We start from the raw sequence: 14,929 nt of genomic DNA, 5'->3' as shown, positions 1-14,929 counted from the left end.
TCTCCCTCCTGCCTGCTTCCCTCCTTCCCCTAGCGGTTGATTGCGAGGAGCAGCGGAAGGAAGGATGTATCAAACCGAAAGAAGAAAGAACCCCTGCCAGTCGCCCCCATGACATCCGACTCTGAACGGCAGCGATCTAGAGGCTGTGGCGTGTTGCAGATTAACAGCAGCGAGGGCAGGAGGCAAATCAGATGCCGCAGGAGCTGACTGTTTTCTTTAGCCCTGAGAGCTGACTGTAGGCACAGGTTGCATATCAAAGGCAACGGGAATCAGTCTGTGGCAATATTACATCAGGTCCTGGACTGGTGGTGGTGTTGGTTGCGGGGGTGGGCGGTGGGGTCCAAGTCCTAAAAGATGTCAGTCAAACACCAGCTGAGCTTCTAGACCTCCTTCTGTGGCCCTTCTTCTGATCAAGTATGCAAATAATAATACAGTCAGGCTCTACCTCCTGCAATTAGCACAGGGGAGGGCTGAGTAACTGGGAGGACTTAGCCTTCTCCCTGTGGTTATCTTGTAAGGCTTTGAAGTGTAACTTTTGTTTTGTTTTGCTTGCTTTCCCCCTGCATAGAAATTTCCCTTAAGGGAAGGGTGGGTCTAAACTACCTTTAAAATGAGTTTCCACTCCCTGAACAAGGCTTGTAAAAGCTTGAGAGAAAATGCCAGGGGAAAGCATGGAAACTTTCTGGGGATAAACTATGGGTCTCCACCTTTGCACTTAATCAGGGGACAGCCACTAACCCCAGTAGCTGCATGCTTTCTGCCACCTTCATCTACCTGAGCAAAACTTCAAGGACATGTTTATGCTGAATCTCCAGAGAGAGCAATAGAAGCCCAGCTTGAGGGAAATGACTGGACCTTGATTACTTAGGATAAAAAGAGATCAATTTATGGTAGGACTATCTATTTATGTCTGCACATTCATCAGGTTTGCCTAGGAAAGGAGTCTCAGAAAATGTGTTGGAATTGGGCACTTCTGATGTCTATCCTATTCCTTGTCTTGGTTGATAACACTTTCTCCAGTCCCCAGATCTCATTTTAGGAAATGAGACTTGTTATCAGGCATCCTAGAGCCTCCATATTTTTCTGAGTCTTTCTGTGTCTGCCGGCACCATTGACGTTGTTACTATTGCTGGTTTTCCTCTTATATTTTCTGTGAAAATGCTTAGGAGCTTTTAAGAACTGGTGGCCACCAGAGAGGTTAAACATTATAAACAATATAAAGCAAAGGAATCTTAGTGTGCTGTCTTTGGGGTGTGTCATTGCTGTACAGCTTCTCTTTTTTTCCTAAAAAACCCTAATCATCTTCTGTGGTGGGAGGGGTTGGAGTTGAAGGGATGGCTAGTTGAGGTGGGGGCAATTTGTGCTGTACCTGTCTCTGACAGTCTTTTAATTTTTCATTCGTCTATGCAAATTTATTGTAAAAGAGGTATGGCTTTTTCATTCTTTCACTCATTGACTTAGCCATTCAACAAACATATATCCAGCATGTGCCTTGAGTAGGACAAGGCTGAACACTGTTTTTAAAAGGTATGTTTCTGTAAAGATGCACTCTTCCCTGACCACCAGACCCTGCCAAACCTTTGAGAGAGTGTCTCTGAGAAGGAATGAGCAAGGGAAAATATCCCATTAGAAGGGAACTCTTGGGTCCTCACCCCTCCTGAGATAGAGATGAATAAGGGCATCTTCTAAAGCACTGAGAACTGTTAAGCTGTCCTTAAGCGGGTGAGGGATATGACTTTTGAAAATAATAGTAAAAACAGTTTATGTGGGGATAGTTTATGAGAGTTCACAGAACCCTTTCATGTGTGTTACTAGAATGAGTGTTGGGTTGAAGATTAGGCAGACATGCTCCCAATAATACTTTTGAAGCGCTGGACACATGCTGTGTTTCACCAAGAAGTTAGCAATTGTTCATAGTTGTAGTATCTGTGACACAGGTCCCAAATGTTCAGATTAGCTAACGTGACCAAAGAGGAGAGGCTTGACATCTCTTTCGCTTGGTTCCATCTCCTTATTTTGTCACTCAACCTAGTGTGTGTGGTCATCCGTTCACAAAACAAAACAGAGATGAAAAACCAACTTAAAAAAACAGGGCTGGGCACGGTGACTCACGCCTGTAAACCTAGCACTTTGGGAGGTCGAGGCAGGCAGATCACGAGGTCAGGAGATGGAGACCATCCTGGCTAACACGGTGAAAACCCGTCTCGACTAAAAATACAAAAAATCAGCTGGGCGTGGTGGTGGGTGCCTGTAGTCTCAGCTACTGGGGAGGCTGAGGCAGAAGTATCGCTTGAACACAGGAGGCAGAGGTTGCAGTGAGCCAAGATTGCACCACTGCACTCCAGCCTGGGCAACAGAGTGAGACTCTGTCTCCAAAAAAAAAAAAAAATGTATATATAATATATATAAAAATATATACATAATATATAAAATATATATTTTATATATTTTATATATAATATATAAAATACATATGTATTATATATTAAAAATATACATAAATATATATAGAGAGAGTGATGATTTTAGGGAACAAGTCTGATTTCAGGATTTTGGGTTGCTTCTGTTCCTCTGGGTGTTTTCTTGGACCCAGAGTCAATATTTAAAACAAAACAAAACAAAAACACCTACCAATTCTCAAGTTTTGACCCTTGTGTCATTTATCATCAGAAGTCATGGGATGCACAATTATAGGACCCAGGATTGAGTTAATCTTTGAGGGATAAATTGTGGCACATTCTGTTTTTGAGGGCTGTTGCAAATCTAAATATCTTTGTCAGTGATTTATGATCTTCTGTGATTGTTTATTTAGTTTCCTTGGTCAAAAAAAAAAAAAAAAAGGCAGCTTTTAGGGTCAGCCTTCTGTGAACAGCGGCTGGACATCTCAACAGCCTCAGCCCAGCCTTGGGCTTCTGCTGAGATGCAAGCATAATGACCAGGAATGTGATCTATCCCCAGCCAGATGGTCAATAGCTGGAAATACTACTCCCTCCACGGTAATTACAATCTAGGGGAGGTTGAGAGGGAGGATCAGCAAATCTGGTTGATCTGAATGGATTTCCACTCCACGTTCAAGCATTTTGGGTTTGAGAAAACCCCCAACACTTCGAGCCCTGGGCATTTTTTCCATTAATATTTTAAATTGATGTTCATGTCAAGGGAAATTTAATACATAGGTTTCTGATTCATTTACACTTAACTCATCAAAATATTGTTCTGTAAGAAGTGATTGGTGTCCAAGAAATCTTAAGAGCCTTTTTATAAGCTTTTAAACTTCTTTTAAACGTTAAGAAACAGAAGTTACAGTCTCCCCAGTGTAAACAGGAGTGAATCCCTGGTTGAGGGGGAGGGAATGCGGGAGGATGGAGAGAGTGGATATAAGGCGCCAAGACACACTGACCTCAGTCCTTGAGGGACAAGAAAGTGGAGCCCAGGACTTTCCAGTCCCCACCTAGTGATCAACGTCTCACCCACGGTCAGGGGAGCAACTGGTGGTTCTACTTTTTTGAATTCTGAAGGCAAAGGCAAGCTTTTTTTAGGGGTCCTGCTGTTGGCAGAGAAAGCTCCCAAGAGTTCTGCAGAGAAGAAGGATATAGACTCCAAAATTTTACTTCCAGGCAAGGCCTCCCCCCACCCTCTTTTTCCCCTTCAAAGAAAGTGCTCATAATGTATCCTTTCATTTATAATTTTATGAAGGTCTCAATTGAACATGTAAAGAAAGTGGAAAAATTCTAAGTTGCCATGGATGTTTGGCATTTTTCCTACTATACTAAAATCTACTTTCTGCCCCAAGCAAAATGGTTTCAGAGATTCCAATAAAAGGGGGTGGAAGACAGTGAGAGCAGAGGTCTGGAATCAGAGTCTTCATGAAATGTATTTGTATTTTAATTATTTGAATATGATCGACTTCTGTTTCACCCTATTTCACTTGGCTTCCTGTGGTAAAATACAGCTCCTTTGCATTTCATAAAGCTTGTAACTTCTGTAAATGAACACTCACGTGTTTTATCTTGTTTTACTCATCCTTCTACAAAATGATAACTGTAGCAGAATTCAGCATCTATGGCTTAGGTTTGTTTATTTGTTATATATTGTTTTTATTTTTCCTCTTTTGTTTTCTTAGAAGAGGGAAAGCTTGAGAATAAATCAGCAATGATAAAAATTTTGTTCTGTTTTTGGAGTTTTCAAAAATTCTCATAATTTTAAGAAAATGCAGAAAGCATTCATATTCAGAAAAGGAGCCAAGGAATAGTGTTAGACACCACTTCAGATTTATCCAATATAATATTTACAAAGTGGTGGCTTTTTTTCTTAGTGTAAGTTTTAATCTATTGGTATTAGCAATATCTGCTTTTCTCCTGCCTTGCTTTACACAGATTCATGATTTTCTAAAAACTGATGTTTTACTCAAATTGAGGTAGGTTCTTTTCTACTGTCTTACATAACTTTGGGTGCATAGACCAAGATTATTTATACACTGTAGAAGTCGATGGTATTAAATCCGCTCAAGAAGTAAGAGAAGTCAGAGGCTAAGTCACGAAAAACCTTTGTCAAAAGACTGTAGGGTGAATGTGGTTTTTGCATCCAAAGCTTTACCTGTGGGTCTAATATAGATTCTGTGCATTCATCTTCTGCAGGGACCATTTCAGTAGAGCCTTTTAAGACACATGTTTTGGAATACAGTCAAATGCGTGCTGCTGTATGACCAGCCTATTTGGTAAGGATTGCCCAAAACTTCTGTCTTGTCAGATTTAGATGTGGAGATTTTTTTGAAGAAATTGCATGTAGAAATTCTTCCATGAGTTCTGATAGGAACATGAAAAACATGCTTCTGAAAAACAGGGTAGACGTCTGAGTACTTTGAGACACTCATCTACTACTATTGTTGAAGTGTTTCTTTTTTTGAATAAAATTTTAAATAGTATTACTATTACCCTAATTATACTATTTATTTCACAGTTAAATTCTTTGCATCTTTTTTTTTCTTTTGAGAAAAAGCTAATGTGATATATATCTTCATAACTGCTATTGCCTTTTTAAAAATCTCTTTTTAAATGATGAATTTTACAACATCCCTGAAAGCTTAGGTTTGAGGTGTGTGCCTCTTACTAACATGAGGTGTCAGTGCTGATCTCTAACGTTGCTTTTGTGCTACTTGAATTATCAGTTGGCAAAGCAAATTCTTGTCCATGCAGGGTAGGGCTACACGTATTTTCAGCAAGGTTTTAAATTTTTTTCTCTGTTGAGTTAAAATTATGTAAAAAGAAAAATCAACTGATGTTAATAATGCTGACACCTATTAAATAATTACTTTGGTTTTGTGATCATTCCATTTAACTGTTGCAATTGCCCCAATTCATAGTTGAGAAAACTGTGACTTTAAAAAGTCATGTGATGCAGGTATTGATTAGATAAACCAGTACGGCTCCTTGCAGTGCTGGGTAACTTGAGCGTGTTGGCTGGATGATCTCTTTGTGATGATGTTTGTGTTAACGGCCCAGCATTAGAGTGGGGACTTAATTGACAAACAGAACTGTTTACATTTTCTTTGACGTAATATGTTTTAAGTTAGAAGAATAATTTTTATACCCAAAGCCACATTTTCTCATGTTAATTGTGTAGGTATATTTCTAGTTATTATTTGTTCATTGATACACTCACTTAATGAACGCTGACTCTTAGCTGAATAAGGCTGGAAATAGGCAAGGCACCTGGCTTTGCGTATATAATCAAATAGGGGAATTAATACAGAAATAATTAGAAAATCATGTAAGAAAGTCTAATACAAGTATTTTACAAAACAACTAGCTTTATCATATAACTTTCAACTTGAACATGACTTCCTAGTTAGGAAACCATTTTACCAAGAATGCAGGAAGTTAAGCCTTCATAATATTTACAAACACTCCAGAGTTAACTTTTTTTTCTGCCCTGTAAATATCACCTCAAGTATTTGGTTTTGCCACAAAACATTAGATAAGCCCAATTTAAACTGTGATTCCTAATTCTGGAAATATGCAAATGCTACTAAAAGATAAGCTTCATTTTCAGTTCCCTCATGGCTGTTAGTCACCAGAAGAAGGGAGAGTCAATTTCCAATTTATTTCCAATGTTAAAACCTTCATTTTGAACATTGTTTTTCATTCTAGTTATAGCTACATCTTACCTCTTTGCAATGGTGGGAGACCCTTCCCTAAATTGCCCTCTTCTTTATGGACTGTTAAACTAGCAGAAAGCGCTAATTAAATGATCATTAGCTTGAGGATGATTGATTACACTTAGATTTACATGTTGCCTTTTATGTTCAAAGAACTACTTAAGCATCAACTAATTAATCTGCAAGTGAAGAATACTTCCAGCATTACTCTATAATTAGACAATCTCAGGAGGAAACAAGAGGATTTCAAAGGGGAGTCAGATGGTTTCGCAGACCGCTACATCATTTATTTTTTCATCACTCAGGTAAAATGGCCAGACCTGAATCCAGTTGCCAACTCATTATTCTTATTTACAAATAAGTTCATTTTTAAAAGGCCAAAGTTGTATAACAGATGAGGAGTTGGAAATAAAAACAAATGAATAACCAAAAGTATTGCCTCTCATCTCAGCTGTTTGGGTTATTTTTAACACTTTATTCCCCATAAAGAGTGAAATTAAGCAAGTCTGTTTCATGACATGTGGTAGACTATCCTTTCTCTCTTTTCTTTCCCAGCATACTCTTATTTGCAAGTTAGTGCTGTATACGTGTGTGTTTGTAGGTAGACAGAGAATTGGTACTTCTTTTGGGCTTTGGTTTCCTAGGTAGTAAGATAGGACAGATCCAAAATATATATGATGGGGCTGACAAACAGAATTTTATAAATATTTTTGGGAAGCAAATGTTTGTGACCATAAGAATGATTGATTGATAGAATGTTGGGAATCTGTTTGGTGTAATAATGCATACATTGAAGTAGAATACATCTTTATAAATTCATCCCAAAATTATATTTAAAACCATAATGACTTTTTCACCAACCTAATACACATAGCAAGGACCTTGAATAGTAACAAAAGACAATCGTCTTACTCAGGCATCTCATCTGTATGTATGGGTCAGTAGGCCAGCTCTGACCTATACATACAGATTAGGTATGATATTAAAATGATACTAAAATGTCAAGCTTCTGTTGGTCAGATGGTTGTTTATCAAACTTTCCTTGAAGCATAAGCAGTCTTCTCAGCTTTACAAAATAGAGGGATGTAGCAATAAGCAAATTCAGTTCAAGTTTCTGTTTTTGGTTGGTTTCAGATGAGCTTGTGTCGAATGCTAAATTTTCCCTAATTCAGCAACTAGCTTGTATATGAAAATTAAGTGTTTGTGGGGGAAACTGCACCATTTATTTTTTTGAAAACTTATAGCTATGCATTGATTTGTATTAACTTCTCTCCCCCACTTCATCACAGTAAATTAAAGTGATGATCTGTTTTTAGGTTATGATTTGTTAAGTGAGTGTCTTTGGGAGCCGTCACTTGATTTCCTCACCAGGAGTATGCCGTTTCCAACCTGTCAAGGACAGCCTAGATTTACCATGCCACACAGGCATTCTGATACGAAATTCAAAAAGTTGGGATTGTTAGAAGAGCTAGAAAGCACAGATTGCACTCAGTTGGACAAAGATAAACAGAAAGCTTGCTTTTTTATGAAATTGGAGATTAAATGAGTTGATGGAATCAAGCCTAGACAGCCACATAAGCCAGAGTGGAAAATTATAGACTAAAATGCATCTGATACTGAAGAGAATGACTCTCTCCAAAAGCCCTCACTTTTTATTTGATTCAAGGAGTCTTTATAAGCTCAGCAAACCCTAAGATTTTAACAAGAAAAACAAAAGCCTCCAAACAGCATGGCTTTCATCCAGCGCTTTTGTGATTTACAAATGACCAGATTTAAAACTTTAATCATCTCACACCTAGGGATTTTTTGGATTTGTTTTAGTTTGTAAGGCATGTCCACAGACAAAATGACTCACAAAAAACAGAATCAGCCTAAACCCCCAATTGGCCCTATTCCTCTGTCAAATCAAGACAGTCAGTTTTGCCCTGGGATTTCAGAGTGTCCCCAAGTGGCCCTTCTATTGACGCAATGTTCATCTTGCAGCTATAATCACTGGTTTCTTTTGAAGTGTACTTAAGCTCTTGCTTAAGTAAATCCATTCATGGACAATTATTTAAGAGATTGGAAAATTCTTTGTTCACGTGAAACCTTTCTTCCTGAGCTTCCTTATAACTTGAGATGATGACTTCTTTGGTCGACTCAATGCCATGCTTCCCACTCTGTGAGCCTGTTTTATAGAGGCAGTATAACAGGTGATGTGAAGCCTTGATATACATTTGGAAGGTATGTGGAAGCTAAGAAAGTGCCCTTTGAGAATCCCTGGTCACTTCTGAAATTGTAATTCCTAGGAAGTTACTGGAGCTAAGACTTCTTTTTAGAGGGAAACAGAAAAAAAATAATAGGACTATGAAGATCAGGTCTTGATCCTTTCAGAGTTGCTAATGCTAATGTCACTGTTCTTCTTTTTTTTTTTTTTTTCCTTCCAAAGATAGAATGACACTAGTTAGAAAAATAAAAGTCTGTTATTTAACATTTCAGATTATGCCTCCAAATCCTACAGAAGTATAACAACCATAGAACAGACAAACACCAACAGCATCAACAACAGAGAAACTCAGTCCAGGAGGATATGAAACCCTTTGTAATAAAGAAAGCAACATCCATGAACATTTGTGTACATGTGTCTTTATGGTAGAATGATTTCTATTCCTTTGAGTATATACCCAGCAATGGGATTGTTGGGTCGAATGGTTCTGTTTTTAGCTCTTTGGGGAATCATTACACTGCTTTCCACAATGGATGAACTAATTTACACTCCCGCCAACAATGTGTAAGTGTTCCTTTTTCTCTGCAACCTGCAAGCATCTGTTTTTTTTAAAGTTTTTTATAATAGCCATTTTGACTTGTGTGAGATGGTATCTCATTATGGTTTAGATTTGCATTTATCTCATGATCAGTGATGCTGAGCATTTTTTTGTTACGCTTGTTGGCTGCATGTATACCTTTTTTTGAAAAATGTCTGTTCATTTCATTTGAAAAGTTTCATTTCATTTCCTTTGCCCACTGCAGCACTATTCACAATAGCAAAGATAGGGAATCAACCTAAATATCGATCAATGACAGATTGGATAAGGAAAATGTGGTACATATACACCATGAATGCTGCACAACCATAAAAAAGAACAGGATCATGTTTTTTGCGGGAACATGGATGGAACTGGAGGCTATTATCCTTGGTAAACTAACACAGGAACAGAAAACCAAATACTGCATGTTATCACTTACAAGTGGGAGAAAAATGAGGAGAACTCATGAACACAAACAGACACTGGGATCTACTAGAGGGTGGAAGGTGGGAGGAGGGAGAAGAGCAGAAAAAATAACTACTGAGTACTAGGCTTAGTACCTGGGTGATGAAATGATCTGTACATCAGACTTCTGTGACACAAGTTTACCTATCCTGCATATGTACCCTTGAACCTAAAAGTTTAAAAAAAGAGAAAGCAACAGCTAACTTAACCCATTCACTGATGTGCTACAACTTTCTCCCATAGGAAGATGCTCTCCCTAGCTTGTATCTTATAGTGATTTAAAAGCACAGGTTGAAAAATCCCTACTGGCCTGTCCAGACTTGGGACTCCTCCCACTTCAGTTCTTTACATTTGCAAAATGGAATTGAGCACCTTCCTCATGGAGGGTGACCAGCAGTCCCAGCTTGCCCAGGACACTCAGTTATAGCCAGTGATATGGTTTGGCTGTGTCTCCACCCAAATCTCACCTTAAATTGTAATCATCCCCACGTGTCAAGGGTGGGGCCAGGTGGAGATGATTGAATCATGGGGGTGTTTTTCCCCATACTGTTCTTGTGGTAGTGAAAATCTCACGAGATCTGATGGCTTTATAAATGGGATTTCCCCGGCACAATCTCTCTTGCCTGCCACCATGTGAGAAGTGACTTTGCTCCTGTTTTGCCTTCCACCATGATTGTGAGACCTCCCCAGCCATGTGGAACTGTGAGTCCATTACACCTCTTTTTCTTTGTAAATTACCCAGTCTTGGGTATTTCTTTATTAGCAGCATGAGAACACACGAATACAGCAAAGTTCCAGGGAACCCATCAGTGGTGAGCAAACTGATATGTTTCGTCACCCTGTATGAGAAAGAAATTAGAAAATGTGTGCAATATATATAACACAGTGCCTGGCACATAAGAAAAGCTCAGTTTATGTTAGCTATTATTACATGGATTGGAGGGGGTCAAACTTGGTCTTCTTCCCCCCGCCCCAACATATGCATTTTATAAAATAAGAAGGAAACACAGCTTTCCATGACCAGATGTCAGATTGGGTCACAATCTTCCTTATGACCCTGAGGGACTTGGAGCAGTGTGTCATCCATCCAGGGTAGAGTGTGGAGTGTAGACAGGATGGGAATTGAACAGCCACATGAACAAGGGCATTTTGTTTTTCTCATTTTCTCTGTGCTATGCTGATGTGGATTTCATCTCAGCCCAATTCTTCCTATGGATAATTTCAGTCCTAAGCTTCTGAGGTCCCACATTTTCAACTTTATAAGGTTGGTGCAAAAGTAATCACATTTGCCATTAAAAGTAACAGTGGCCAGGTGCAGTGGCTCATGCCTGTAATCCCAGCACTTTGAGAGACCGAGGTGGGCAGATCACGAGGTCAGGAGATCAAGACCATCCTGGCTAACATGGTGAAACGCCGTCTCTACTAAAAATACAAAAAATTAGCTGGGTGTGGTGGCGGGCGCCTGTAGTGCCAGCTACTTGGGAGGCTGAGGCAGGAGAATCACTTGAACCTGGGAGGCGGAGGTTGCAGTGAGCCGAGATCACGCCACTGCATTTCAGCCTGGGTGACAGAGCGAGACTCCGTCTCAAAAAAAAAAGGTAATGGCAAAACCACGGTTACTTTTGTACCAACCCAATACTTTTCTTCATCATCAAAATAGCCAACACATGCTCGACCTTTTCTTTGTCACAGGTGATCTTTAATCACTTTTTAAATTTTTACATGTATTAACTCGTTAAGCCTAACAGCAACCCAGGAAGTAGCAACTGTTGTTTTCCCCATTTTGCAGATGAGGCCATACAGACACAGAGATGGAGAAACTTCCCCAGGGTTTAAGAGTTTAGTTGTCAGGAGACAAGATGCAAATCAAGGTGGGCTGACCTCCTTCAGTCTTACTTTCCTCACCCGTAAAAATGGCCCAATACGAACTGCTCACCTTGTTCACAGGGCTGTTGAAACAACCAGATGATTTAGTGTACGGGAAAACACGTTAGTTTTCACGTATTAGGCAAATATGACCTCATTATTTTTTCATCACACTTTTATTTGCCCACTCTTGCTGTATAGTCTGAAATGACAAACATCTTGAGAGATAATAGACTGCCCCGATGAGATAGATCCTTTCTGTAATCAGGGACAAAAAGCCTTATTTCTTTGGAACCCTCCCCTTGGGGATGAAACTTAGAACAAAGAATTGTCCCAAACTTAGGTCAGCGATGGCCCCACCTTTCTCCCTCTTTCAAATAGCTCTTGTTGCTACGAGACACAAAACACAAAATGAGGTCCCCGGCATCACCTTTGCTCAGCACAAAAGTGGACCATGCCGCTTTGAAGATGGGAAACAGATGATAAAGTTTAGGCAGGTATTGAGTTACCATGCTGCAGCCTCAAACTGCAAACTAATTAGAATTCAGGCCGTTTCTAAGAAGCCAGCCAAATAACGATGTCCTTAGAACACATAATAAAAGGAGCTGATCATTCGAGCTTAGGTTTGCTTTGGATGAGAAAGTTCAGCAGAGACGGTGTGTGTGCACTGTGCAAACTGTTCACTATTCTCCAGTCCCTGTTTGCACACACCCACATGACACTCACTCTGATTAATGAAGGCTATATATGCACACTGACATCGGCATTGGAGCTCCAGAAGCATTCGAAATTTCCCCAGGTGTAGCTAGTTTATTTTCAGGTGTGGACAGGATGGTCATTAAAAACAGAGCCAGATTTGGTCTCCTACCTAAACTCAACACCTCCTCTTCCCCTCCCCTGGCAGCATTTTTATGCCTGTGGAGCCTGTCTTTTCCTTGTTGGGCATGCAAACCTTTCACTCATCAGAGGCCCAGAGTTCTTTGGAAGCCTCGGATATGTCAGTATCAGTAAACTAATGGAAGCCATGTGTTCACAGAATGGAAAAAACCTGGCATCCTAAAGCCCCAGACATGTCTTACCATAAACGGGTCTAAAGCAGAGACTCCTTGAGTCCTTTCCTCTTCATAGTAGGTTGTTGGCCACCCTGCTGATTAACTGTTGATAATGCTATTTCAAATGATTCCATTCCTAAACATGAAGCTCTCATTCTCCAAGGGCAATGGAAGCAGCTAAGATTTATTGAATATATATTAGGTGCTATGCAATTTAATAATTTAATGATGAGCACAATGATTACATCACCTGCTGTGTATTCGGTGTGTAGACCTGCTAAGAGCTCTATGTTGACTGATTTATTTAATCCTGACCCCAAGTTGGGAGGTAGGTATTGTCATCTCATTTTATGGAAAGGAAACCCTTCCTCAGGAGGGTTGAGTAATGTGTCTGCTGGTGGTCAGGAGTAGGTTGGGAAAGCCACTATATGTGGTGTACTTCTTTTCCTCCCTGGGGCACAATAACTTGGAAAGATAGGAATTATGGTGCTAATTTTTATAACTAAGCTGAAATTTAGAGAGTTTGAATAAATTTTCCAAAAACATGTGACTGGCTGGTAAATGACAGCAGAGAGGAGATACTCACATAGTCTACAAAAGTCAGTGTATTCTGCTGTGCATTGCCACAGGGCAGAGTTTCTAAGGGGAGAAGGGTTAGATTTCCCAATAGTCAGACCAGGTGAGGTGCATGCTTAATGTACCACATCATACCAGAAGCATAAAAAGAGAAGTTTTTAAAAGAATTTGGTTATTCATGGAAATGCCAAATTATCAAAGTAGTCATTTTTGAAACCGAAATCTTTTGGACTTCTTGGTTAGGTATTTTATATTTTTGTATCTTCAGTAAAAAACAACATCAAAATCTCAGTGGCTGAAAATAACCAAGATGGATTGTTTGCTTATACTACATATTCACCATGTGATATTGTTAGGCTTTGTGTCCCCACCCAAATCTCATCTTGAATTGTAAGCCCCATAATCCCCATGTGTCAAGGGAGAGACCAGGTGGAGGTAATTGAATCATGGGGGTGGTTTCCCCCATGCTGTTCTTGTAATAGTGAGTTCTCAAGAGATCAATAGTTTTATAAGGGGCTCTTCCCCCTCCCCGCCGCTGAGCACTTCTCCTTCCTACCACCTTGTGAAGAAGGTGCCTTGCTGCTTTTTTGTCTTCCACCATGATTGTAAGTTTCCTGAGGTCTCCCCAGCCATGCTGAACTGTGAGTCAATTAAACCTCTTTCCTTTATAAATTACCCAGTCTCAGGCAATTCTTTACAGCACTATGAAAACAGACTAATACACCATGGGTCAGCCAGCAAGAGTATGGCATGACAGGGTAAGGTAAGGTGGCTCTGTGCCACTTTGTCCTCATCAGGGGAAGCAATATGGAAGACCTTCCACCAACTGGAATATCCCTGGCCTCAGTGGCATAGAGGAGGCAGCATGGGAAGGTTTGCATTGACTCTTAGTCTTCTGCCTGAAAGTGTCTCCTCTCTTGTTAATGTTCCCTTGGCCAAAGCAAATCTCATGGCATACCTGACTTTGAGGAGATGGGGAGTGGCATTGCCCCCATGTGCATGGAAGGAGAAAAACCAGCATATTGAGGAACAGCCTCACAATCACCATTTTGCAGATAGACAGCGGGGTGAAGAAGATAGTAATTTTTTCCAGTGCTCAGAGCCCTCAAATGTGTTAATCCTTTCCAGACAGGGAGGAGGGAAGGCTGGTAGCTCCCCCTTGCATTTGAATAAATGCAAGCAGTAAGACTACACAATCCTTTCTCCTTCTCCAGACCCCATGATTCCTACATTTCTCCTTCAAATGTCCTACCTTGATCCCAACTAACAAGGACCGGTGTTCTCACTGCAATAGAAGCTGGGTTTATGGCCTTTCCCACCATACACTCAGGGCTGCTTTCTTAGGGAGTTTTGTACTCAGTCTTGACATCTGGATTGTCTTCACAGTGAATCCTTGCTACTCTTGGCATGAAAACAGCTCCAAGCATGGAGCTGATCCTCTGCAGGGCGATCACCCTGGCTGTTAGCTTCCCTTCCTGTCCCCTCTTCCCCAGCCCTTGTTGACCATCTCTTCCCACGCAGCATCTGAATCCTGGGGAGCAGACTGAGGGTGGCCACTTTGGAGCCAAGGGGTTCTAAAGCCTCCCAATTAAAAGATGCCAAGTGAAACTTAGGAGTTATCTGAGGGTTTCATCTTCTCTCACTAACTTATAGGACATCCCTCTTTGCTTCAAATGCCTCATTATAAAAGCCAACTGCCCTCCCAAGGAGCAATCTGCTGTCCAGTCAGCCACAGTTAGCTCACAATGCAGCCTGGTCCCCAAGGCTCCAAGACCGCCTCCCTCGGGCCCATATCACTAGCTTTTACCAGCTTCATCCTTTTTGGGATGAAAGGCTGGGTCTGAAAGGTCAGTTCTGATGAGCCTAAGCTTTTTAATTAAAGTCACCTGAATTGCTCACTCCTTTATTGCAGTCATCCTATGGCCTGGTTTAGCTAGGACATACTCCCAAAGGAATAATTGACATTTCTTTAAAAATTCGCTGCAAACTGAGCTGTTTTCAAAAGTAAGGTCTGATTTAAAATTTAA

General features: G+C 40.3%; 1 long non-coding RNA gene across 1 annotated transcript, besides 3 other annotated features; it reads left to right on the top strand.

Moving 5' to 3' along the window:
* Positions 66–836: an enhancer, noted in NCBI's record as "OCT4-NANOG-H3K27ac hESC enhancer chr17:70025920-70026690 (GRCh37/hg19 assembly coordinates)". NCBI's record gives its function as "activates a minimal SCP1, AML or CMV promoter by ChIP-STARR-seq in naive and primed H9 embryonic stem cells {active_cell/tissue: H9 hESC(naive and primed)}" and the evidence as "EXISTENCE:reporter gene assay evidence [ECO:0000049][PMID:30033119]".
* ROCR (regulator of chondrogenesis RNA) lies at positions 4,636–8,764 on the top strand. The gene is made up of 3 exons (NR_110876.1): positions 4,636–4,717; positions 6,311–6,462; positions 8,636–8,764. It is a non-coding gene; the product is annotated as a regulator of chondrogenesis RNA (long non-coding RNA).
* Positions 9,937–10,036: an enhancer, noted in NCBI's record as "active region_12667". NCBI's record gives its function as "activates an Ori minimal core promoter by ATAC-STARR-seq in GM12878 lymphoblastoid cells {active_cell/tissue: GM12878}" and the evidence as "EXISTENCE:reporter gene assay evidence [ECO:0000049][PMID:35858748]".
* Positions 10,057–10,126: an enhancer, noted in NCBI's record as "active region_12666". NCBI's record gives its function as "activates an Ori minimal core promoter by ATAC-STARR-seq in GM12878 lymphoblastoid cells {active_cell/tissue: GM12878}" and the evidence as "EXISTENCE:reporter gene assay evidence [ECO:0000049][PMID:35858748]".

This window comes from Homo sapiens, chromosome 17, assembly GCF_000001405.40.
Source record: "Homo sapiens chromosome 17, GRCh38.p14 Primary Assembly".
NCBI classification, from domain to species: Eukaryota; Metazoa; Chordata; class Mammalia; order Primates; family Hominidae; genus Homo; species Homo sapiens.
This window is presented reverse-complemented; position numbering and strand designations above follow the sequence as displayed.